Source organism: Homo sapiens, chromosome 22, assembly GCF_000001405.40.
Source record: "Homo sapiens chromosome 22, GRCh38.p14 Primary Assembly".
Classification (NCBI taxonomy): Eukaryota; Metazoa; Chordata; class Mammalia; order Primates; family Hominidae; genus Homo; species Homo sapiens.
The window spans coordinates 20867312-20892328 of NC_000022.11; the positions used below are offsets into that span (position 1 = coordinate 20867312).

At 48.3% G+C, this 25017-nt stretch overlaps 1 protein-coding gene across 1 annotated transcript in view, besides 6 other annotated features; it reads left to right on the plus strand.

The window, feature by feature from the left end:
• The window catches only part of SNAP29 (synaptosome associated protein 29), a 32208-nt gene extending 8305 nt beyond the window's left edge, over positions 1-23903 (plus strand). Inside the window, exons 2-5 of the mRNA NM_004782.4 lie at positions 3026-3222; positions 13738-13823; positions 16160-16258; positions 20368-23903. Of these exons, the coding sequence (NP_004773.1) occupies positions 3026-3222; positions 13738-13823; positions 16160-16258; positions 20368-20525 (540 nt within the window). The 3' untranslated portion in view covers positions 20526-23903. The remainder of the gene's footprint in view (positions 1-3025; positions 3223-13737; positions 13824-16159; positions 16259-20367) is intronic.
• Positions 110-404: an enhancer, noted in NCBI's record as "tiled region #10319; HepG2 Activating DNase matched - State 5:Enh, and K562 Activating DNase unmatched - State 25:Art". NCBI's record gives its function as "activates a minimal TATA promoter and a strong SV40 promoter by Sharpr-MPRA in HepG2 and K562 cells {active_cell/tissue: HepG2 | K562}" and the evidence as "EXISTENCE:reporter gene assay evidence [ECO:0000049][PMID:27701403]".
• Positions 110-796: a biological region, named in NCBI's record as "Sharpr-MPRA regulatory region 10319".
• Positions 265-796: an enhancer, noted in NCBI's record as "H3K27ac-H3K4me1 hESC enhancer chr22:21221864-21222395 (GRCh37/hg19 assembly coordinates)". NCBI's record gives its function as "activates a minimal SCP1, AML or CMV promoter by ChIP-STARR-seq in naive H9 embryonic stem cells {active_cell/tissue: H9 hESC(naive)}" and the evidence as "EXISTENCE:reporter gene assay evidence [ECO:0000049][PMID:30033119]".
• Positions 5451-5640: a silencer, noted in NCBI's record as "fragment chr22:21227050-21227239 (GRCh37/hg19 assembly coordinates)". NCBI's record gives its function as "represses an EF-1alpha promoter that drives an FKBP-Casp9 reporter gene in an ReSE screen in K562 erythroleukemia cells {active_cell/tissue: K562}" and the evidence as "EXISTENCE:reporter gene assay evidence [ECO:0000049][PMID:32094911]".
• Positions 9656-9856: a silencer, noted in NCBI's record as "peak4460 fragment used in MPRA reporter construct". NCBI's record gives its function as "represses an SCP1 promoter by STARR-seq MPRAs in K562 erythroleukemia cells {active_cell/tissue: K562}" and the evidence as "EXISTENCE:reporter gene assay evidence [ECO:0000049][PMID:32103011]".
• Positions 18460-18960: an enhancer, noted in NCBI's record as "H3K4me1 hESC enhancer chr22:21240059-21240559 (GRCh37/hg19 assembly coordinates)". NCBI's record gives its function as "activates a minimal SCP1, AML or CMV promoter by ChIP-STARR-seq in primed H9 embryonic stem cells {active_cell/tissue: H9 hESC(primed)}" and the evidence as "EXISTENCE:reporter gene assay evidence [ECO:0000049][PMID:30033119]".

Sequence of the window (25017 nt, forward strand, 5' to 3'; positions counted from 1 at the left end):
GAAGATGGGCCGTGGCTCTGCGGAGGGGGGTGTGGACCTGCCTCGGTACCTGGAGCGGTTGAGGCCTGTCTTGGTGGTGGCTGGGGCACAGGTGTCTGCCTGGCCTGTCCTTACAGACTGTCAGTGTTCTCTTTCCTGGTATTTTGGTGTTTGCTCTGTCAAACCCTTCTTCCTCATTGGTTGGAACTAGGTCACAAGCACATTAAGTCCGGTCATTTCCTCTGCCTTCTGGGGGTGGATTTTAGCAGAAGAAACAACTCCTCCCTTGCTGGCCTCATGACCTCTGGTGAACACTAGCTTTCAGCAAACAGAAACTTCCAGAGGCCAGAGCAGCACTCAGTCGCCTGGCCTTCCAGCCTCACAGGCAAGATAAGCCACCCTCACAGACTTCTCTGTGCTCCCATCTAAACATCTAAATCAGCCATCTGGTTTCCTTAACAGTAGCACAGACTCTGGGAGTTTGAGAGAATGTGTCTCTTGTGAATAAGAGAAAATAAGTCCATACTGGGGAAGGTAGCTCTCCAAATTGAGATGAGGAGGTCAGGGTGGGAGGGTGAGTGGTCGTGGGTTGGCCCTGATGGGAGGAGCTCACCATCAGGGAAGCTGAGGACCTCCCTCCTAATGTGACAGCAGAGTCTTGGCCACCTCTTCATTCCCCAGTCCCCAACCTGGCTGCTCTGAGTGTCTTTCCAGCTACTGGAAAGCTTCTTCTGCAGCCTGCAAAGCTAGCTGGAACTGGACTGTCAGAAAAACATGTAGATGCTGGAGAAAATCTGTTAATCCTAACGTATAGCTCTGCCTTATTCCAGAGAAGACCGCAGTGTGGACATGAAGATGATAAACTTGAGGTGATGGAAGGAGCAGAAATGCCAGATACATTAGCAGCTCTTTTTTCTTTTGAAAACTAGCCCTTGCAAGATTTGCTTGACATACTGAGTGACACTATCCAGAAAACATCTTTTTTTTACTTAAAAAAGGCTGATGGTTTGTTCAGACATCTCTTGTGAACTAGTGAAAAACATAAACGTTGAAAGCTGTAAAATTCAGCAGTTCTAAGTTTATTTCCAGCAAGAGTTAAACAAAGTTTAATAGTAAATTCAACCAACCAGTGTTTTAGCTTTTTGCCTATACATTATGTTTTTAAATTTCACCCATTAAACAAGGACTCAGGTTACACATTGATTCCTTAAGGACTTTAAGGAAGCCACAACCATTTATTTATAGTTGCATTTTGCTCTTCAGGTTTCCAGGATGTTTAAAATTTTTTTTGACTTTGTTTTTAGGCATCAAGAGAGAATATATCTAAAAAACATTTGCATAGTTAGTGTAATTGCTAAGCCACAGGGTGATGGGTGGATAGATTCAGAGGAAGGCAGCTGAGGGCAGAGGCTGCCTGACAGAGCAGGAAAAATGAAGCTCGAGAGCCTTCTGGCTGGAAAGGCAGCTCACAGATGGGCCGCAGCTGTAGATCAGTTCTGAACTAGGGACTGAAGCAAGTTTGTCGTAAATAAAGGAAAGTGGTAGTGTTGATGTTGTGAATGTATATCCACAACCAGAACCATCAGCTCTGGAGGGACCATCAGGCTGCCACTGTGGCCACAGAGCATCACTCACGTCTCCATTGGGCAGATTTGCAGAGACTCAGCAGTGAACAGAGCAAGTCCCTGCCTCGTGGAGCTCATATGCTGTGAGCGGTGGCTCATGCCTGTAATCCCAGCACTTTGGGAGGCCGAGGCGGGTGGTTCGAGACCAGCCGGGCCAACATGGTGAAACCCCGTCTCTACCAAAAATACAAAAAACTAGCCAGGCATGGTGGCAGGCGCCTGGAATCCCAGCTACTCAGGAGACTGAGGCAGGAGAATCGCTTGAACACAGGAGGCAGAAGTTGCAGTGAGCTAATATCACGCCACTGCACTCCAGCCTGGGTGACAGAGCAAGACTCCATCTCAAAACAGAAAAGGAGGTGGAGAAGAGGGGTAGTGGTTGGAAGAAGGAATTCTCCTTTAGGGAAGATGTCTGGGAAGGCCTCTCTGAGAGAGTGGCCTTTGAAAGGAGACCCTAATTGGATGAGGGATGAGAGGCTGAGCCATGTAAGTATCTGGATGGAAAACATTACAGGCGGAGACAGTGGTGTGTGCAAAGGCCCTGGGACAGGGTCACCCGTGTTAACAGGTTTTAAAGCTGGAATTGTGGATGGGCTAGAGTCAGACACTAATAGGGCCCAGAGGGGACACTGGTCCTTGAAATAGAATTTGAGGATTTGACCATGGCCAGGAGGCTCAGGTGGCCCAGTGGGAACTCCTTAAATGGGAACTTCCTAAAGGAAGAATATAAGAACCAAAGTCCAGGGGGCAGTGCCAGGCCCAACCTGTGAGGGTTCCCAGAGTTGGAGGGCTAGAGAGAATCTGCTTCCAGTTCAGGCCATAGACTCTGAACCTCACAGGCACATTGCCATCCATCTCCCCTCACCCCCAACCGAGACGGAGTCTTGCTCTGTCGCCCAGGCTGGAGTACATTGGCACCATCTTGGCTCACTGCAACCTCTGCCTTCAGGGTTGAAGCAATTCTCCTGCCTCAGCCCCCCGAGTAGCTGGGATTACAGGTGCCCGCCACAACACCTGGCTACTTTTTGTATTTTTAGTAGAGAGGGGGTTTCACCATGTTGGCCAGGCTGGTCTTGAACTCCTGACCTCATGATCTGCCCGCCTCAGCCTCCCAAAATGCTGGGATTACGGGTGTGAATCACTGCGCCACCCTCTGCCATCCATCTTAACATGGCGCCATGAGCCAGCCTCTCAGGAAAAGGGTCTCATGAACAAATGAGGAAAGCAAGTAGAGGTAGGGCAGGGAGGGAGAGGCAAAGGAATGTGTTGTTGGAAAGGGTAGTGTGCCCCTCACAGATGACAGTACCCGTCTCCAGATGTGCCCACTGAGAGTTTATGAAGGGGCTGCTCCATGTGGTCCTTGACTGCCCTGGGGGAGAGTCACAGAAAGCTATAATGCCACTGCCTCTCGGTTTCCCCAGGAGCTCGCCCGTCAGCGAGGAGTCCTGGAGCGCACAGAGAAGATGGTGGACAAGATGGACCAAGATTTGAAGATCAGCCAGAAACACATCAATAGCATTAAGAGCGTGTTTGGGGGGCTGGTCAATTACTTCAAATCCAAACCAGTAGAGACCCCACCTGAACAGAATGGCACCCTCACCTCCCAGCCCAACAACAGGTGAGTGCATCTTCTACCATCTGGGTATAAAGGAGCAGAAGTGGGGATTAGTGCAAATGACCAAGACTTTCAGTCCACGTCAGTGCCATGAAGGGATCCAACAACCCTTTAAGTTACTCATCAGGGGATATTTGTCCTCAAACATTGTGAAACCAGGAACTGTTCTTCCCTGATCCCATGTTCACTTGATTGACATCTAGTCTGTCAATAGCTTCTCCAATAATTGTGACCCCACTACTTTGAAAGAGAGGGTGTTCACCTCAGCGTAATCTGTACAAATGTGACTCACTTCACATAATTTTTGCTTTAAAAAATCTTTAGGGCTGGGTGCAGTGGCTCACACCTGTAATCCCGACACTTCAGGATGCCAAGGTGGGTAGATTGCTTAAGCCCAGGAGCTCGAGACCAGCCTGGGCAACATAGTGGGAACCCAGTCTTTACAAAAATTACCCAGGCATTGTGGTGCACACCTGTAGTCCCAGCTCCTCAGGAGGCTGAGGTAAGAGGATCTCATGAGGCCTGGAGATCAAGGCTGCAGTGAGCTGTAATGGTGCACTCCAACCTGGGCTACAGAGGGAGGCCCTGTCTCAAGAAAAAAAAAAAAAAAAGTCTTTATGTCTAAATTTGTCATATCTAATCCAATTCGCCCATTGATTTTTATTTGAAAATTATAAGGCTGGGCTCAGTGGCTTATCTGTAAAATCCCATGCTTTCAGAGGCTAAGGTAGGAGGATTGTTTGAGACCAGCCTAGACAACATAGCAAAGACCCGTCTCTATAAAAACTAAAAAAAAAAAAAAATTAGCCAGACATGATGGCACGTGCCTATATTCCTAGCTACAGGGGAGACTGAGGTGGAAGGATTGCTTTAGCCCAGGTGTTAGAGACTAGAGTTAAGCTATGATGGTGCCACTGCACTACAGCATCAGTGACAGAGTCTCCCTGTCTCTAAAAAAAAAAAAAAAAAAAAAAAGATTTAAAGCTAAATAATTAAAATCAAAAAAATAAAGTTAGAAGTTGCTTTCCTCAGGTTTTGGCTCGAAATATAAAATCATACATGAGACTGGGGGCCAGGCACGGTGGCTCACGCCTATAATCCTAGCACTTGGGGAGGCCGAGGCGGGTGGATCACCAAGTCAGGAAATCAAGACCATCCTGGCTAACATGGTGAAACCCTGTCTCTATTAAAAATACAAAAAATTAGCTGGGCGTGATGGCGGGCGCCCGTAGTCCCAGCTACTCGGGAGGCTGAGGCAGGAGAATGGTGTGAACCCGGGAGGTGGAGCTTGCAGTGAGCTGAGATCATGCCACTGCACTGCAGCCTGGGCGACAGAGCAAGACTCCGTCTCAAAAAAAAAAAAATTCATGAGATTTTGGTAGACTTCAGTGTTACATGTTCAAGGATAAAGGAATGGAGTTTCTGCTGAAGTAGATTACTATTGTTTGTATTTCAGATCACTGTGTCTGTTTTTATTACAAAAACAACATGGCCACATTACAGACAATCTATACTTTACCTACCGCAACACAAAAACAGAAAATTTCATTTTCCCCTTATTCAGTATTTTCATAGTTGTAACCATAGTATTCTTTTGGTTTGATAGCCTTTTTCTTCCATTTAACCCAGAAAAACTGCTTGATATTATGTGATAACTCAGGTTCCATAACCATCTCTCTCTCTCTCTTTTATTTATTTATTTTTTATTTTATTTATTTATTTTTTTTGAGATGGAGTTTCACCCTTGTTGCCCAGGCTGGAGTGCAAAGACGTGATCTCAGCTCACTGCAACCTCTGCCTTCCAGGTTAAAGCGATTCTCCTGCCTCAGCCTCCCAAGTAGCTGGGATCACAGGTGCCCACACCATGCCTGGCTAATTCTTTTTTTTTGAGACGGAGTCTCACTCTGTCACCCAGGCTGGAGTGCAGTGGTGCGATCTCGGCTCACTGCAAGCTCCGCCTCCCGGGTTCATGCCGTTCTCCTGCCTCAGCCTCCCGAGTAGCTGGGACTACAGGCGCCTGCCACCATGCCTGGCTAATTTTTTGTATTTTTAGTAGAGACGGGGTTTCACCGTGTTAGCCAGGATGGTCTCGACCTCCTGACTTCGTGATCCATCCGCCTCCGCCTTCCAAAGTGCTGGGATTACAGGCGTGAGCCACCACATCCGGCCTAATTTTTGTATTTTTAGTAGAGATGGGGTTTCACCATGTTGGCCAGTCTGGTCTCAAACTCCTGACCTCAGGTGATCCACCTGCCTCAGCCTCCTAGAGTGCCGAGCCACCACGCCAGGCTTTTTTTTTTTTTTTTTTTTTTTTTTTGAGACAGAGTCTCACTCTGTTGCCCAGGCTGGAGTGCAGTGGCACCATCTCAGCTCACTGAAACCTCTGTCTCCCAGGTTCAAGCAATTCTCTTGCCTCAGCCTCCTGAGTAGCTGGGATTACAGGCATGTGTCACCATGCCTGGTTAATTTTTGTATTTTTAGGAGAGATGGGGTTTCTCCATGTTGGCCAGGATAGTCTCGAACTCTTGATCTCAGATGATCCGCCCGCCTCAGCCTTCCAAAGTGCTAGGATTATGGGCGTGAGCCACCACACCTGGCCTCTCTCTTTGTTTTAATTCTGTAATGTGGAGCTTTTCTTTTTCATTTTATTTATTTATTTTTTAAGAGATGAGGTCTTGCTGTGTTGGCCAGGTTGGTCTTGAACTCCTGGCCTCAAGCAGTCCTCCCACCTCGGCCTCCCAAAGTGCTAGGATTACAGGCATGAGCCACCACACCTAACTGCAGAGCCGTTTTTTTTAATGCATCACTAAGGTACAGTAAAATATGTGCATCTTAAGTGGAGAGCCAGTGACTGTGAACCTGTGTACACTAGTGTGGCCACCACCCAGATCAAGATGTAGGGTGTGGCAGGGAGGAAATTAGATAACTACTTCAAACTCAGAGTGGGGCTGGGGAGAAACCAGTGTAGGTAACAAAGCTGGTGGTGATGGCAGAAAGAACAGGCAGGCGAAGCCATCAAGAGTTATGGAGAGGTTCAGGCATGGTGGCTCATGCCTGTAATCCCAGCAATTTGGGAGACTGAGGCAGGAGGATCACTTGATCCCAGCCTGAGCAACATGACAAAACCCCGTCTCTACAGAAAAACACAAAAATGAAGTTGGGCATGGTGGTTCAGGCCTGTAATCCCAGCACTTTGGGAGGCCGAGGCGGGTGCATCGTTTGAGGTCAGGAGTGTGAGACCAGGCCAGCCAACATGGTGAAACCCAGTGTCTCCTAAAAATACAAAAATCAGCCAGGCATGGTGGTGCCTGCCTGTAGCCCCAGCTACTTGGGAGGCTGAGGAGGAGAATCCCTTAAGCCTGGGAGGCAGAGGTTGTAGTGAGCGGAGATTGCACCACTGCACCTCAGCCTGGGTAACAGTGAGACTCTGTCTCAAAAAAAAAAAAAAAAAAAAAAAAAAAAAGGCCGGGCATGGTGAGTCACGCCTGTAATCCCAGCACTTTGGGAGGCCAAGGCCAACGGAGCACGAGGTCAGGAGATTGAGACCATCCTGGCTAACACGGTGAAACCCCGTCTCTACTAAAAATACAAAATATTATCCGGGTGTGGTGGCGGGCGCCTGTGGTCCCAGCTACTCGGGAGGGTGAGAAATGTGTATGGCGTGAACCCAGGAGGCGGAGCTTACAGTGAGCTGAGATCACGCCACTGCAACAGTGAGCTGAGATCACGCCACTGCACTCCAGCCTGGGCGACAGAGCAAGACTCTGACACACACAGACACACACAGACACACACACACACACACACACGAAAATTAGCCACACACACACACACACACACACACACACACACACACACACACACACGAAAATTAGCCGGACATGGTGGTACGTGCTTGTGGTCCCAGCTACTGAGGTGGCTGAGGTGGACCCGACCTTTTGGCTTAGGTGGGAGGATCACCTGAACCCAGGGAGGTTGAGCCTACAATGAGCTATGATTGTACCAGTCTACTCCAGCCTGGGTGACAGAGTGAGACCCTATCTCAAAAAAAAAAAAAAAAAAAGTACTGCAGGAGGGACCTGCAGAGTTGGCCCTGGGAACCTGCCGGCCTCAGTGAGTGCCCTGGGGAGGCACTAGCTAAGGTTATGAGGGTTGGTTGGTTTTTTTGGCTCAGCCATAATCACCATTCTGGGTTCTCCAGCTCAACCCTAATTTTAAACATCCGCCATTTCCCTCCAGTTCTAGTCGTTGCTTGTTTTTTGTTGTTTTTTTTTCAATATACATATCAGAAAGATGTTTTATATCCTAATCTTTGGCCACATTTAATTGCCATAGGAGAAGGTAGGATGTTCATTTGTTTTGGTCTAAGACATCCTCCATGTACAAACTCAGGAGCAGAGTGAGCCCTTGGAGGAGTGGGAAGCTGGCAAGTTTGTGACTAGCACCCTTTCACACCCTTCCACATCCTACATACCTCTTCACAAAGGCTGCTTCTGGGGCTCTTGGAGGCCCCTGCATCCCTGAACATAGCTATGAAAGCCATGGAAGTCCTGTGGCTCCAGGGGCAGTTTTCTTTTTTTGGAGCATCATGAAAACTCAGGGGCTTCCCAGCAAAGGCTTCCATCAGTGAGGCAGCCATAGTTATTTCAGTGAGGTGGGCTTTGTCTCTTGGGAAGTCCTGTTTGTCCTTGCTGACAGCTTTCCAAGCTGCTTGTTCTCATTTCCACTTAAAGCTGATGCGTTCCCGTCAAGGTCCCCAAAGTCATGTACCCTGCCTGGCCTGCCCCTAGATTAGCCCCAATCAGTTGTAGCATTCTTGCCATCTCTTAGTAAATTCAAGAAAGCAAAACTTTCACCCACACTCTGCAGTTCTGTGGGAGCAGAAGCTGCAGGAATGCAGTCTGTCTGTTGGAAGATATGGGGGAGGCAGACAGTCCACAGGGATGCAGTGGGGACCCAGAGGAGAGGGAGGTTGGCCCTGGGAACAGAGGAAGGCTGCACAAAGGACCTGACTTTTTGCAGAAGGTGAAGGTTTTGAGGGAACCCACCAATTGAAGGAGGGGTTGGTGCAGGCACATGGCAGTAAAAGCACAGGGGAAGCCGGGATGAAGGAAGTTGTTGGCCATTTCAAGGGCCCAGCAGGGCCAGACACAGTGGCTCATGCCTGTTATCCCAACATTTTATAAGGCCAAGGCAGGACAATCACTTGGGGCCAGGAGTTGAAGATCAGCCTGGGCAACATAGCAAGATTCTGTCTCTACAAACATAAAAAATTTTTAAAGCTGGGCATGGTGATACAGGCCTGTAGTCATATTTACATGGACGACCAAAAAAAAAAATGGGGGGGCGGCTGGGTGCAGTGGCTCACGCCTGTAATCCCAGCACTTTTGGGAGGCTAAGGTGGGCGGATCACGAGGTCAGGAGATCGAGACCATCCTAGCTAACACGGTGAAACCCCGTCTCTACTAAAAATACAAAAAATTAGCCAGGGGTGATGGTGGGCACCTGTAGTCCCAGCTGCTTGGGAGGCTGAGGCAGGAGAATGGCATGAACCCGGGAGGTGGAGGTTGCAGTGAGCCAAGATCAAGCCACTGCAGTCCAGCCTGGGCGACAGAGACTCCATCTCAAAAAAAAAAAATGCAATAAATTGTGAGTAAAATTTTTGTGATCCTGTCAAAACCTTTAATCCATAAATGCAGGAATACTGTCACTTAAAAACTTTGCCTTTTTTTTTTTTTTTTTTTTAAGACAATGTCTCGCTCTGTCGCCCAGGCTGGAGTGCAGTGGTGCAGTCTCTGCTCACTGTATCCTCCACCTCCCAGGATCCAGCAACCCTCCCACCTCTGCCTCCCAAGTAGCTGGGACTACATGCATGGGCCACCATGCACTGCTAATTTTCGTATTTTTTGTAGAAACAAGGTCTCACTTTGTCTCCCAGGCTGATCTCAACCACCTGGGCTCAACTGATCTTCCCGCCTCAGCCTCCCAAAGTGCTAGGATTGCAGGCATGAGCCACTGTGCCTGGCCCACTTAAAAGCTTTTTTTTTTTTTTTTTGAGATGGAATCTCGCTCTGTCACCCAGGCTGGAGTGCAGTGGCGTGATCTCGGCTCACTGCAAGCTCCGTCTCCCACGTTCACGCCATTCTCCTGCCTCAGCTTCCCAAGCAGCTGGGACTACAGGCACCCGCCACCACGCCCGGCTAAATTTTTTTTGTATTTTTAGTAGAGATGGGGTTTCACCATGTTAGCCAGGATGGTCTCGATCTCCTGACCTAGTGATCTGCCCGCCTCGGCCTCAAAAGCTTTTAAAATAAGTTTCTCCTATCAAACTTCTGTTCAGTCATGCATTTCCTGTGTACATCATTATCACACAAACCCTTCGGCCTTCTCTGAAGTTTTGTCTCTTGGGAAGCCCTGTTTGTCCTTGCTGACAGCTTTCCAAGCTGCTTGTTCTCATTTCCACTTACAGCTCATGCGTTCCTGTCACATATGCACCCTTAATTTGAAATTCTCTAACTTATTTAAGACTTGGTTTCTGACCAGGAACCACCCTCTCTTAAACCTCTACTGTCTTATCACTTTTCTCAGTCTCCCTAGAAATTGGCTTTCTTGGCTGAGCGTGGTGGCTCACGCCTATAATCCCAGCACTTTGGAGGTTGAGGTGGGCGGATCACAAAGTCAGGTGTTCAAGACCAGCCTAGCCAACATGATGAAACCCTGTCTCTACTAAAAATACAAAAATCAGGCCTGGCACGGTGGCTCACGCCTGTAATCCCAGCACTTTGGGAGGCCAAGGAGGGTGGATCACCTGAGGTCAGGAGTTCGAGACCAGCCTCACCAACATGGAGAAACCCTGTCTCTACTAAAAATACAAAATGAGCCAAGCAAGGTGGCACACACCTGTAATCTCAGCTACTTGGGAGGCTGAGGCAGGAGAATCGCTTGAACCAGGGAGGCAGAGGTTGCAGTAAGCCAAGATCGCACCATTGTACCCCAGCCTGGGCAACAAGAGCAGAACTCCCTCTAAAAAAAAAAATTAGCCGGGCGTAGTGGCGCTCACCTATAATCCCAGCTACTCAGGAGGCTGAAGCAGGAGAATCTCTTGAACCAGGGAGGTGGAGGTTGCAGTGAGCCGAGGTCATGCCCCTGCACTCCAGCCTGGGAGACAGAGCTAGACTCCGTCTCAAAAAAAGAAAAAGAAAAAAATTGGCTTTCTTTGTGGGGGAGCCATTTTTCACAAAGAAACCATTGTTTTCCTCATTTATGTATTACCAGTATATATGTGATGGCACATAGAAAGAATAAAGCCAGCGTTGAGATGTGCAGGCTGAAAGGTGGCCAGGCAGACTCAGAAGCCAAGTGTCTCTTCCTACTCCCAGCATGGCAATGCACTGCCCACAGTGGTGCTTAGAGGAGCCAGTTCTGTGTTCTAGACTTTCAGTCACAGCTTCCGTGGGGTGAAATCCTGGAGTGTTAAATCCTTCCATTCACCAGGCTCTGCTGCATTCTACCCATAGCTGGAGCCCTGGGCCTGCAAAACCCTTAGCTTGCGGGAGTCTGGACTTGCTCTTGCAAGTTGGGAGTCATTAAAGACTTTAACTGAAGAGGTGCTTGCCAGTATTGCTTTAGAAAGATGCGCAGCACCCATGGGGAGTAAGGATTGGAAGGGAGGGAATTGAATTGAGAGGCATTGCCATAATCCTTGTTAAAGGTAAAGAAAAGCAAGGCAGGCCGGGCACGGTGGCTCAAGCCTGTAATCCCAGCACTTTGGGAGGCCGAGGCGGGCAGATCATGAGGTCAGGAGATCGAGACCATCCTGGCTAACACAGTGAAACCCTGTCTCTAAAATACAAAATACAAAATAAAATACAAAAACCCTGTACTAAAAATACAAAAAATTAGCCGGGCGTGGTGGCGGGCGCCTGTAGTCCCAGCTACTTGGGAGGCTGAGGCAGGAGAATGGCGTGAACCCAGGAGGCGGAGCTTGCAGTGCGTGGAGATCACGCCACTGCACTCCAGCCTGGGTGACAGAGCGAGACTATGTCTCAAAAAAAAAAGGCAAGGCAGAAGGAGAGGCTGGGTTTCTGGGCTACTTAGGGGGTGGGAGATCAAGAGGGCGTTTGTTTTGCCTGGATTACTGGGAGTAGCGCTGTGCAGGGGGAGGGCAAAAATTGCGAGTAACCCTGATTCCCAGATTGGCTGGCGAAGTGGTCAGGCTGCTGTTGAGATAGAGGAGAGCAGGCTGTTGGGGAGGCACAGCTCCCAGCTGGAGGCACCTGCCATACCTTAGGGGGCTCAGCAGGATGTCGGGGATCAGCAGGGCATCAGGCATAGTCTAAATGACTTTGAGTTGCAAGAGCTATCCCTGTCTACAGCCAGAGTCAGCAAACTAGGCCACGGAGCAAAATCAAAGATATTTTATAGGGACTTACGTGATGAGAAAAAAACATACTTTCACAACTTTTTAGTGACAAAATTTAAAATATAAAAACAGTGGCCGGGTGCAGTGGCTCACGCCTGTAATCCCAGCACTTTGGGAGGCCAAGGTGGGCGGATCACGAGGTCAGGAGATCGAGACCATTCCGGCTAACACGGTGAAACCCCGTCTCCACTAAAAATACAAAAAATTAGCCGGGCGTGGTAGTGGGCGCCTGTAGTCCCAGCTACTCAGGAGGCTGAGACAGGAGAATGGTGTAAACCTGGTCAGCAGAGGTTGCAGTGAGCCGAGATCGTGCCACTGCACTCCAGCCTGGGCAACAGAGTGAGACTCCATCTCAAAAAAAAAAAAAAAAAGTAATAGGCTGGACACAGTGGCTCATGCCTGCATGGCTGTAATCCTGGCACTTTTGGAGGCTGAGGCAGGGGGATCACTTGAGTAGGCACCTGTAATCCCAGCTACTCAGGAGGCTGAGGCAGAAGAATAGCTTGAACCCGGGAGATGGAGGTTGCAGTAAATCGAGATCACGCCACTGCACTCCAGCCTGGGCAACAGAGCAAGACTCTGTCTCAAAAAGAAAAAACAATTTAAGAATTGGCCAAGCATGGTGGCTTATGCCTGTAATCCCAGAACTTTGGGAGGCTAAGGCGGGCGGATCACCTGAGGTCAGGAGTTCGTGACCAGCCTGCCCAACATGGTGAAACTCTGTCTCTACTAAAAATACAAAAAATAGCCAGGTGTGGTGGGGGCCTGTAATCCCAGCTACTCAGGAGCCTGAGGCAGGAGAATCACTTGAACCCGGGAGGCAGAGGCTGCAGTGAGCCAAGATTGCGCCACTGCACTCCAGCCTAGGTGACAGAGCGAGACTCTGTCTGAAAAAATTTAAAAAAAAAAAAAAAAAAAAAAAAGCCAGGCAGGGTGGTGAGTGCCTGTGGTCTCAGTTACCCAGGAGGCTGAGGTGGGAGGATCACGAGCCTAGGAGTTAGAGACTTCAGTGTTTGCACCACTATACTCCAAACTTGGTGACAGAGAGAGACCCTATCTCAAACAACAACAACAAAAACAGTAATAGTTGAGTACAGTATTCTGGTAATATAAGTGCACTAATGAGAGGAATGAAACTCTTGAGGTTCTAAGTTTGTCATCTGAGGTGCACATGGTCATCTCTAAGGCCATTCTTTGCTCATGGTCATATAAAAACAGGTGAAATTTTGTTTTGTGTATTTTACCATAATAAAAATAACTTGGGGCCAGGCGCAGTGGCTCATGTCTGTAATCCCAACACTTTGGGAGGCCGAGGTGGGTGGATCACTTGAGATCAGGAGTTAGAGACCAGCCTGGCCAACATGGTGAAACCCCATCTCTACTGAAAATACAGAAATTAGCTGGGGATGGTGGCACCTGCCTATAACTGTAATATCCCAGCTACTCGGGAGACTAAGGCGGGAGAATCACTTGAACCCGAGAGGCAGAGGTTGCAGTGAGCCAAGATCACGCCACTGCACTCCAGCCTGGGTGACAAAGCAAGACTCCATCTCAAAAAAAAAAAAAAAGAACGGGGAAACAGTACAAAAACAGGAGGTGAGCCAGATGTGATCAGCAGGTCATTGTTTGCTGACTGTAGTCTAAAGTACCGGTTTGGTTGTTCCATGTGCTTTTCATCTGCCTGGTCCTAGGAATCCAGGTTTCCCTGAGAGAGGGCCACCTAACTCGATGCTACACTGCTTTTTTTTTCTTTTTTTTCAGTAAAGACAAGGTCTCATTATGTTTCCCAGATCTCACACTCGTGGGCTCAGGCAATTCTCCCACCTCAGTTTCCCAAAATGCTGGGATTACAGGCATGAGTCACCACACCTGGCTTAGCTGCCACACTTCTGAGGCAGGGGTCTTCATAAGCTTACTGCTTGGCCCACTGTGCTCCTGGGAGAAGCTGTTGAAATCCCTACTTTGGTCAGAAGGAGTTTGGCACAGAGGAGGCATTTGATTTTTAGCACACAGGCATTATGTGAAAAGACTGATAACATTGTCATAGGGGTTTTTCCTTTTTAAACGTTTTCTTTTTTGTGAACTTTTATCCAAAGATTGAAAGAAGCTATAAGTACAAGTAAAGAACAGGAAGCAAAGTACCAGGCCAGCCACCCAAACCTTAGAAAGCTGGATGATACAGGTAAGTGGATACCTGTGTGCACAGCCACATTTGAATTCTGGGGGGAGACCTCTAGGTTTGGCGTTGGTCCTTGGGGGGCAGTGGCAACCTCTCTGGGGAGGTGGGCAGGGGCCCCAGCTGCTGGCATCACCCATGCTAGCCAAAGGGCCTTAGGGACCCCGCATGCTCTTGCGGAGCTGGGGGTGTGCATTATGGTGGGGCTCCTCCTTCTCTCCCTCCCTCCCTCCATGGAGAGGAGAACAAGGAAGTGAGGGCCTGCATTCCATTGAAAATGAGCCTGCCCGGCCAGCCTGGTGCAGTAACACACGCCTGTAATCCCAGCACTTTGGGAGGCCAAGCTGGGTGAATCACCTGAGGTCAGGAGTTTGTGACCAGCCTTACTAATAACGTGGTGAAACCCTGTCTCTACTAAATACAAAAAAATTAGCCAAATGTGGTGGCACATGCCTCTAATCCAAGCTACTTGGGAGGCTTGGACAGGAGAATCACTTGTATCTGGGAGGCGGAGGTTGCAGTGAGCTGAGATCACGCCACTGCACTATAGCCTGGGCAACAAGAGTGAAACTCTGTCTCAAAAAAGAAAATGAGCGTGCCCATCATTGGTTCCTGCCTGTGTCATTCTCAATTGTTCCAGCAGTAAAAAGCCAACTGCAGAAAAACCCCTTGGTAAATAGAATACTGGCCCCTCAAAGCTGTCCACGTCCTAATCCCCAGACCCCGTGAGTGTGTTAGGTTATATGGCAAAGGTGGAATTACAGTTGCAGATGGAGTTACAATTGCTAATCAGCAAGATGGGGAGATTATCCTGGGTTGTCCAGTTGGGTCCAGTGTCATCACAAAGGTCCCTTTTAAGTGGAAAGAGAAGCAGGAGAGAGAGCAGCAGAGTCAGAGATCTGAAGATGCTGCTGGCCTTGAAGATAGAGAAAGGGGCCCACCTGCCAAGGTACACGGGTGAACTGTAGAAACTGCAAAAGGCGAGGAATTAGATTCTTCCCAAGAGCTCCAGAAGGAGTGCAACCCTGAGGACACCCCGACTCAGCCCAGTGAGACCCATGTTGGACTTCTGACCTCCAGAACCGTAAGACAAGTTTGTGGTCATTTGTCACAGCATCAGTGAGGGACTAATACAGCCTCCAGCCCAAGCAGAAGGAGCAGCAGCCACATGGACAAGGTGTGCAAGACAGTGTTGATCGAATCATTCCACTTCTATCAAGTGATAGGCCCAGAAACATCCCTTATCTGGAAAGGAATTTAGGGCTCCTGGGGCCTCCTCCATAGGCCCCCACAATAGCCAGGTACATTGAAATTGGTGCTAGAAACCAAAGGCTTACTGTGCTGCCTTCAAGAAAACGATACACCATGGAAGCTCTGGAACCCACCATGGTTGTGGTTGATGCAGCTGAGGAGAGCCCAGATGGAGGAAGAGCGGGGAGCAGGAGAGACTAACATCATCAGCACAGTTCATTCTGGAAAGGCAAGTGGAGGAAGTGAGTGTAAATTGAAAGGCAAGGGCTGGGAAAACCGGCCTCATCACACCCTGGAGAAGGGGCACAGGACACTGCACCCAAGACACAATTTTAAGGAATTAAAGAGAGTTTTTATTTGTGCAGTATATATTAACTTAAAAGACTGAAGAAAAAATCGACACAGTTTGCAGAATGGTTTCAGTTGGTTGGTGCTGGAGGAAATGTGCTAAGTCTAGAAAGTGAAGTTTCCCTGAAAGAGATAAACCGGGATGACAGGGCTTTTCCGTGTGCGTTTAGAAACTGAAGTTCATTCAAGCCAAGAAAGATAATTTTAAAAAAGAAGAAACTAAAAGTTCAAGGAAGATTTCTTGTGGCAAATGTGCATTATTTAACATTTCTTTTTTTTTTTTTTGCGTATTTGTTTCAAGTGCAAAGATAGTGTAGAAATAAATTTCAGAAAGAAACGAAATTACCCATAATTCCATTTATGTAACGTAACAATTTGTATTTTTATACTTTGTCCACAGACTGTGTAGTTTTGCATTATTGCAGTTCCACTTCTGTATTGTCACTTGTGTGACTCTGTCTTTCCTGAGCTTGTGCACCAGGAGTTAGGTGACCCTTAATTTGAGGGTGTTTGATCTCCCAAGTACTGAGGGAAAGTGAGAACCCTCTCCTACCCCGTGGAAGCGTCTCTTCTTCTGGCCCATGAGCCTGCGCTGTGCTCCTCCCTCATCCCTCTGGATAGCCTCAGAACCAACCCCTTCGTTCCTTCCACCCATTTTCCAGATGAAATTGTTTTGGGTGTGTGAAGCAGCATTTGAAGGAATGTCAATTAACCGCTCTCCTGGTGTTTCCTTCTAAACTTAGACCCTGTCCCCAGAGGGGCTGGTTCTGCCATGAGTACTGATGCTTACCCAAAGAACCCACACCTTCGAGCCTATCACCAGAAGATCGACAGCAACCTAGGTAAGACTGAGCACCACACCAGCTTCTGTAAGCCACTGTCCTTCAGGCAGCTTACGCCAAGCATAGCCCCTGCATGAGCATCCTCCAGCTTCAGTTCCCTCACCACACATCACATCCCACGCCAAGCTGGGTCCATCTTGCCACCTCACTGTCTCTGGAATCTCTCCACTTCTCACCATTTCCTACTTCTAGCCCAGCCGAGCCCTCCCCACCTCTCACTTTCATGAACAGCACCAGGGACCCAGGAGTCCCTGAGAGGCCATAAAGTATAGCCTGGACGTGACCGCTCACTTCATCCTTCCCACCTGGCCACTCAGAGCCCTGTTTTCCTCCTTGTGAAATGGGCTACCTCTGAGAACAGTGGAAAGGTTACCTGAGCCAGAAAGTGCCTGGGATGGTAAGAGTTAGTGCTCGTGTTGCAATTGGCACTTTGGCCACACAGCCTCCAGCATGATGTTTCAAAACGGAAGGGTGTGCAGGGGGCCGGGCGCAGTGGCTCACGCCTGCAATCCCAGCACTTTGGGAGGCCAAGGCGGGTGGATCACCCGAGGTCAGGAGTTCAAGACCAGCCTGACCAACATGGTGAAACCCTGTCTCTACTAAAAATACAAAAATTAGCCGGGCGTGGTGGCAGGCGCCTGTAATCCCAGCTATCGGGTGGCTGAGGCAGGAGAATCACTTGAACCCGGGAGGCAGAGGTTGCAGTGAGCCAAGATCGCACCATTGCACTCCAACCTGGGCAACAAGAGCGAAACTCCACCTAAAAAAAAAAAAAAAGAAGAAGTGAAGGGTATATTCTTCCAGAACTCTCTCATGGAACCCCACACACTCACAGTGCAGTCCAGGCTCTCTTTGGCTGCCCTAGTCCCTTCTGCCCTCATCACCTGCAGGCTCGTGTGGGATTTCTGATGTGAGTTCTTTCTGCCTCGTGGCCCCTATCTGCCTGGATGGGCTCCCCCGACTCTCTGTAGGCTGGCTCCTTCTCTTTCTGTCAGTCTTGCATTAGTATGGCCTCCTCTCCCTGTCTCTCAGGACCCTTGTGTTTCCAGGGGGCTGCCCTGGCCGTTTGTGATTGTGTATCTGCTGGTTTGCCTGCTGTCTTCCCAATCAGACTGTAGATTCCAGGACAGCATGGGAGTGTTTCCATTTTGTCACTACTTTGTATCTGGGGCCCAGCAGGCAAGCACTTAGTGATTATGTTTTGTTTTGTTTTGTTTTGTTTTGAGACAGAGTTTTGCTTTTGTTGCCCAGGCTGCAGTGCAATGGTGCAATCTCAGCTCACTGCAACCGCTGCCTCCTGGGTTCAAGCGATTCTCCTGCCTCGGCCTCCCGAGTAGCTGGAATTACAGACATGCACCACCATGCTCAGCTAATTTTGTATTTTTAGTAGAGATGAGGTTTCTCCTTGTTGGTCAGGCTGGTCTCGAACTCCCGACCTCAGGTGACCCGCCTGTCTCGGCCTCCCAAAGTGCTGGGATTATAGGTGTGAGCCACTGCGCCCTAGCCAGTGATTATTTTTTGAATGGAAAAGTCAGTTACTTGAAATTCAAGTAGGTGTTGGCCTGTGGGCAGTTCTGTGAGTTTATTCTAAGTAGTGTCTCAGACTTGCTGCCTCCTCCTACCGCTACTCCCTGAGCAGAAATCTCCCCCGTGGTGACCTGGGTCACCCTGTCAGTCTCCCACCCCCTGTTAGGAGTTGGCAAAGTGTAGGGGACAAATAATAAAATCCTCCCCTGCTGTAAAGGTATCTAGTGGAAGGCAAAACTGAAACCCATGAAGATGCACATGGAGTGTCTGTGCACGGGTTTTCTCCTGCTTGCTGTCTGGGAAGCCCCAGACAGCTGCCACCTCCTTCTATGCCCTGGACTCTGTCCTCCAGAGCCAAAGACTTATCTGAGGCAGAAGGTGTGTCTGCCCAGATCTAACCACTCCAGAGAAGCCCAGAGAGGCGTGAAAGCCCTTTGTCCTTCACTGCGAGAAAGGGAGAGGTTAGGGCTAGTGGTATGGTTGGTGCCTGCTGGCAGAAGTGGGAGAAGGGACTTTGAGGAAGGATACTGCATTCAGAGGCAGGAAGAAGTGCTGAGTACTGCCCGCCACTAGGAGGTGCTGAGGGTGCACAGTTGGCACTGTGGACGAGCAGCTGGGCAGTTACCGGCAGGACGCAGTCTAGAGTAGGAGGTGGGCCTGGGCAGAAGGGCGAGTGGCTAGTTCAGAGCTCAGCCCTCTGGCCCTGCTGACACAGGCCAGGCCGGTCCACTCTGGTGGGGCAGGGAGTGTTGCCTTTGTTCACACTCTTCCCGTCTTAACACTATCTCCCTGCTATTTCAGGATCTCAGGCAAGCTCTCTGGACTCCAGCGCCCTGGCCTGGTGGTTTTACATTATCACACATTTTATCTCAGCCTCTCTGTTTGCTTATCCTTTGCTGCCCTGGCTGCCAGTGAGCTTCCTCCTGAGGCCTGAGGCAACCACAGGCTCTGCTCTCCATGGAGCACGAGGCCATGAATTTTAGTAAGCTTAAGAAGCAAAGAGCTGAAGACTTATCTTTTTTTTTTTTTTAATTTTAATTATACTGTTTTTCTCTTTCTTTTCTTTTCTTTTTTAGAAATGGAGTCTCGCTTTGTTGCCCAGGCTAGTCTCCAACTTCTGGGCTCAAGTGATCCTCCCACCTCAGCCTCCCAGAGTGCTGGGATTACAAGCATGAGCCACTGTGCCTGACTTGAAGACAATCTTTTTATTTTTATATTTTTTAATTTCTTTCTGAGAGTTTTACTCTGTCGCCCAGGCTAGAGTGCAGTGGCACAATCTCAGCTCACTGCAGCCTCTGCCTGCTGGGTTCAAGTGATTCTCATGCCTCAGCCTCCCGAGTAGCTGGGATTACAAGGTGTGCACCACCATGCCCAGCTAATTTTTGTATTTTTAGTAGAGACGGGGTTTCACCATGTTAGCCAGGATGGTCTCGATCTCCTGACCTCAAGTGATCCACCCACCTCGGCCTCCCAAAGTGCTGGGATTACAGGCATGAGCCACCACACTCAGCCTATCTTTTTATTTCATTTTTTGAGACGGAGTCTTGCTCTGTCGCCCAGGTTGGAGTGCAGTGCATTGATCTCAGCTTACTGCAACCTCCTCCTCTCAGGTTCAAGTGATTCTCTTGCCTCAGCCTCCCGAGTAGCAGGGAATACAGGCATGCACCACCACATCTGGCTAATTTTTATATTTTTTAGTAGAGATGGGGTTTCACCATGTTGGCCAAGCTGGCCTCAAAATCCCGACCTCATACGATCCACCCACCTCAGCCTCTCAAAGTGCTGGGATTACAGGCATGAGCCATTGTACCCGGCCAAAACTACCTTTTTAAAAAAACTGATTTTGGCCGGGCGCGGTGGCTCACGCCTGTAATCCTAGCACTTTGGGAGGCCAAGACGGGCGGATCACAAGGTAAGGAGTTCGAGACCAGCCTGGCCAATATGGTGAAACCCTATCTCTACTAAAAATACAAAAAAAATTAGTCGGGTGTGGTGGCGTGTGCCTGTAGTCCCAGCTACTCAGGAGGCTGAGGCAGAAGAATTGCTTGAACCCAGGAGACGGAGGTTGCAGTGAGCCGAGATCATGGCACTGCACTCCAGCCTGGACAAAAGAGCAAAATGCTGTCTCAAAAAAAAAAAAAACAAAAAACTGATTTTGCTTAGATTTGTGGTACCAGTGCTAAGCCTTTGTGTATCCTGATCCTTTTTCTCTTAGTGTTTTATATTTAATCTTGCAAGTAAGAAGGCTTACAAAGCACCACCTCTTCTCTCTCCTCTCTGGCTCTTTCCTGGCTGCTGTTCCTAGTAAAAAGGCAGAAAGCAGCCCTGGGCATATCTCCCTACCCCCAGCGTGCACAAACACACACACACATACACACACACACACACAGTCACAAACCTGGGAAAAGGCTTTACTCTTCACCCTGACAGAATCAATTAAGTCAAGACTCATCTCTGCAGTGGGTGCAGTCCCCCCAGGCAACACAGATCCCTGTCTCTCCCACTTACCCACACCATCAAGAAGCATTTGCAGGTGCCGTGACTGTTTGCTCATGCCTGCGTGTCATTTCCTCCTCCTGCAGATGAGCTGTCCATGGGACTGGGTCGTCTGAAGGACATAGCCCTGGGGATGCAGACAGAAATTGAGGAGCAAGATGACATTCTTGACCGGCTGACAACCAAAGTGGACAAGTTAGATGTCAACATAAAAAGCACAGAAAGAAAAGTTCGACAACTCTGAAGACAGACGGATTTCCACTCTATTGTGATGAAAAGATTTGAAAGATCTTTTTTTGAACTTCCAAGAAATTTCATTTACTATTTTAGTATGTAAATTAATGTGTGTTTGCAAATGTTATAATAGAGTAGGTCTTAAGACATTTTTGCTGTTATAAGGAAGTGTTTGTCCCACATTTTCCTAGGGTTAACACCTCACCAAGTTCTTCCAGCAAAATGCTTATTAGAGTTTTTGTCTGAGCACAGTAGCCTGGCCCTGCATATCTTGGGCGTTTGATTACCATGCTGGAATAAGAAGAGTTGCATTTCTCATTTTAATGAGCATATGGAAAGATGGGAACAGAATTTCAGTCTTGCAGCCATGAGCCTCTATTTCTCATTCCTAAGCCTTACCATGAGTCAGAGTGTTAAGGGGGCCTGTGAACCAGTCGTTTGGTGGAGGAGGGTCCTTCCCACACCTTTGTTTAGGAGTCATCATTCACACACACACACACACACACACACACACACACACACACACACACTCTCTGAGCACATTATCTGTGATTCTTTCATCCTCCCAGAAAGGATCAGTGTTAGAATGGGAAATAGAGTGTGCCATCTTGCTCTTTTGTTGGCAGATGTCCCCGCTTCCCTCCAGCCCCCCATCCTTGGCATGTATATTAGTAGGAGGGCTTCACACCAGCACTGCTCACTGCGACTCCTGGAAATGTGTGGGGAATTGGGTGAGCCCCTCTTCCCCACGTGCTCCCATCTGTAACTCTCCATCTGTGATTTGCAACAGGTCTTCCACTGGCTCGAGGCTGCGAGGCTGACCGACAGGGGCGCCCAATAGAGTTTGTGGGAATGGAGTATTGCACAGATGCAGCTGCACAATGGTCTTCCTCCACCCCTCTGGGAATCACCATTAGGCAGGCCTCAGTAGGGCAAAATGTTTATTTGGTACCGGGGGTCTCCTGACCTGTCTAGCATTCCCACCCACTCTTCTGCACTTCTTGCAAGGTAACTTGAATCATCACTTATTTCTCTGCCACCTGGTTTTAGGACTGGCACTCTATAAATGACGCTGACTTTGTATAGAAGGATTTTGCTAAGGGGGCAAAAAGCCCAGATACCATTTTAACTGGCCCAGTTCATTTTCTCCTTTCATTTTACAAAAGAAATCATGCAGAAGCATCAATTAAAACTGATTTATTTATGTTGGTACATCCAACAAAATAGTTGGAGCCACAAGGCCCTTGTCTTTTTAAAAAAACAAAATATTTTGAAGATGGTGAAAGTGACTGATTTTAATAATGAGATAGGTCACTTAAAATAACAGTGCCTTTGACCTTAAAACATGGCACTGGCCCATGTGACCTTTGCCATTTCCCAGTACTTCCCTTTACAGTCTGCAGCCTATAAACAGTGGTGTCTCAAAGCAAAGGAAACCTCCACAAGTGCTGCAACAGTGCATTAGTTTTTATGTAGCAATTTGTTTATAAAAATTCCCATCCCATAATGCATGACCTTCCTAAAAATATCCACAGCCTCCATAGGCAAGGTGAGCTTTCTGTGCTACCCACTTGTTAGATTCCAGCCACCTCAGGGATTCTGATCCATGTCATTAACGACCATCCCAGGGTGTGAGGGCCTGATTAAAGCTTATCGAACTAGACATTTGTTTATTAGATGAGCTCGGCATTATTATTTTCTCAATAACTGGTAGAAGGGAAATTTTAAACATAACACTCAACCCAAACAAAACTACTTCGTGAGGCTTTCAGCAAAAAGGCTGCTTAAAAGCATGAACCCGGGATGCAGAGCAGCTTTTGTGCACGGTTCCACTTACTGTAATTGTTTCTGGTTCTTTCCTCTAACACCTTCCATGTATGTCAACTTTTTATCACCGTCAGGCATAGACTCGTGGAGATTAGTCATTATAGCTCAGACCTAAGCTAATTATTTAAAATAAATACATGTAAAGGCCACTGCCACATTCTCAGCAGACTTCCACTTGCCTAATGAGATTAGTGATTCAACTGACTTGAAGCACAGTAACATCTTATTTTATGCACATTCCCTGTCTTTTGCTGGACTGATGAAGCCAGTCACCCGCCCTTCTCTGTTTTTTGGTTTTTTTTTTCTTAACCCCAGGTATATGGAAGGGGAGTTGCCTTCACTTTTCTGGAAATTTGTCTTCGTCTGACATATTAGAGGGCCTCGTTTTGTCCTGTTCTTGTTCAGACCCTCTCGTTCTACGTCCTGTGCTGAGGGGACTGTCCGTAAGCTACAGGACAGCGAGCTGGTCCTTTCTGCCACTTCTTCCCCACTCCCATGCCCAGGAAGGCCTGGTTGCTGATGCTACTTTATAAATGAGTTGCTTGCATTTTCACAGAGAATGAAGGAAGACGTAACATGGCTCCAGAAACTTTTCACATGATGATTGGGATCGACAAAAAAATGCTACCCTCTAGACTAGACACATTTCATGGAGACAAGCAAAATGGTGCCAGGGCTGGGCTGACTGTGGGATGGGATTTGGTACTGCAGACAGATTTTGATTTCCACAGTTGAGCTGGAAACAAACTGTGCCTTCAAAAAATGACTTTTCTAACTTAAGGTTGGTTATATGTTAAGTGTGCTACTAACTTAAAAAATAGTGGCTGGGCGCGGTGGCTCATGCCTGTAATCCCAGTGCTTTGGGAGGCCAAGGCGGGGGGATCACGAGGTCAGGAGATCGAGACCATCCTGGCTAACACGGTGAAACCCCATCTCTACTAAAAACACACAAAAAATTAGCTGGGCGTGGTGGTGGGCGCCTGTAGTCCCAGCTACTCAGGAGGCTGAGGCAGGAGAATGGCATGAACCTGGGAGGCAGAGCTTGCAGTGAGCCGAGACAGCGCCATTGCACTCCAGCCTGGGCAACAGAGCAAGACTCCGTCTCAAAAAAAAAAAAAAAAAAAAAATAGTGCACTCTCTGGCTGGTCACGGTGGCTCACGCCTGTAATCTCAGCACTTTGGAAGGCCAAGGCAGGCGGATCACGAGGTCAGAAGATCGAGACCATCCTGGCTAACACAGTGAAACCCCGTCTCTACTAAAAATATAAAAAATTAGTCGGGCATGGTGGCGGGCGCCTGTAGTCCCAACTACTCGGGAGACTGAGGCAGAAGAATGGCGTGAACTCAGGAGGCGGAGCTTGCAGTGAGCCAAGGCGACAGAGCAAGACTCTGTCTCAAAAAATAAAAAATAGTGCACTGTCCTTCGAGAAAGTTTTCTAACATCTAGTAATTTGTAACTTAGAAGTGGAGTTGCCTTGTGGATGTCTTTTTTGCATTCTGTAGGAAATGAAACGTGAATTTAACTCGGGTTGCAAGAAATAAAAATGTCAGTGCATTTAAATTTCTCTTTAACCTCTTTTTGTGAATATGTAATTTTAAGTGTACACTATACCAATTTAGTAATAATCTTATACTTTGCCCATATGGGCCTTTTCTGCAGATTTTTTTTTTTTTTTTTTTTTTTTGAGATAGAGTCTCACTCAGTCACCCAGCCTGGAGTGCAGTGGCACAATCTCGGCTCACTGCAACCTCCGCCTCCCAGGTTCAAGCAATTCTGCCTCAGCCTGTCGAGTAGCTGGGGTTACAGGTGTGCACCACCATGCCCGGCTAATTTTTTTATTTTTTTAATACAGACAGGGTTTCACTGTGCTGGCCAGGCTGGTCTCCAACTCCTGACCTTGTGATCTGCCCGCCTCAGCCTCCCAAAGTGCTGGGATTACACGTGACCTGTAGAATTTTAAAGTTACAAATGTTGTTCAGCATCTTCAGCTCTGATGAATGCGGTGTCAGTACAAAATGATGAGCTAGAGCCAGGGCATGGTGGCTCATGCCAATAATCCCAGTGCTTTGGGAGGCTGAGGCAGGAGAATCTCCTGAGGCCAGGAGTTTGAGACCAGTCTGGACAACATAGTGAGACCCCACCTCTAGAAAAAATTTTTAAAAATAGCTTGGCCTCTAGTCCCAGCTACTTTGGAGGCTAAGGTGGGAGAATTGCTTGAGCTCAGGAATTTGAGGCTGCAGTGAGTTATGATCATGCCACTGCACTCTGGCCTGGGCAACAGAGGGAGACCCTGTCTCTAAAAAATAATAAAATGATGAGCTAAGTTCGAGACCAGCCTGGCCAACACAGTGAAACGCTGTCTCTATTAAAAATACAAAAATTAGCCAGGCATGGTGGCATGTGCCTATAGTCCCAGCTACTCAGGAGACTGAGGCACGAGAATCACCTGAACCCGGAAGGCAGAGGTTGCAGTGAGCCGAGACCACACCACTGCACTCCAGCCTGGGTGACAGAGCGAAATTCCATATTAAAAAAAATTGATGAGCTAGTCATTAAAAGTGCTCATTATGGCTGGGCATGGTGACTCGCCTGTAATCCCAGCACTTTGGGAGGCCGAGGCAGGCAGATCATGAGGTCAGAAGATCAAGACCATCCTGGCTAACACGGTGAAACC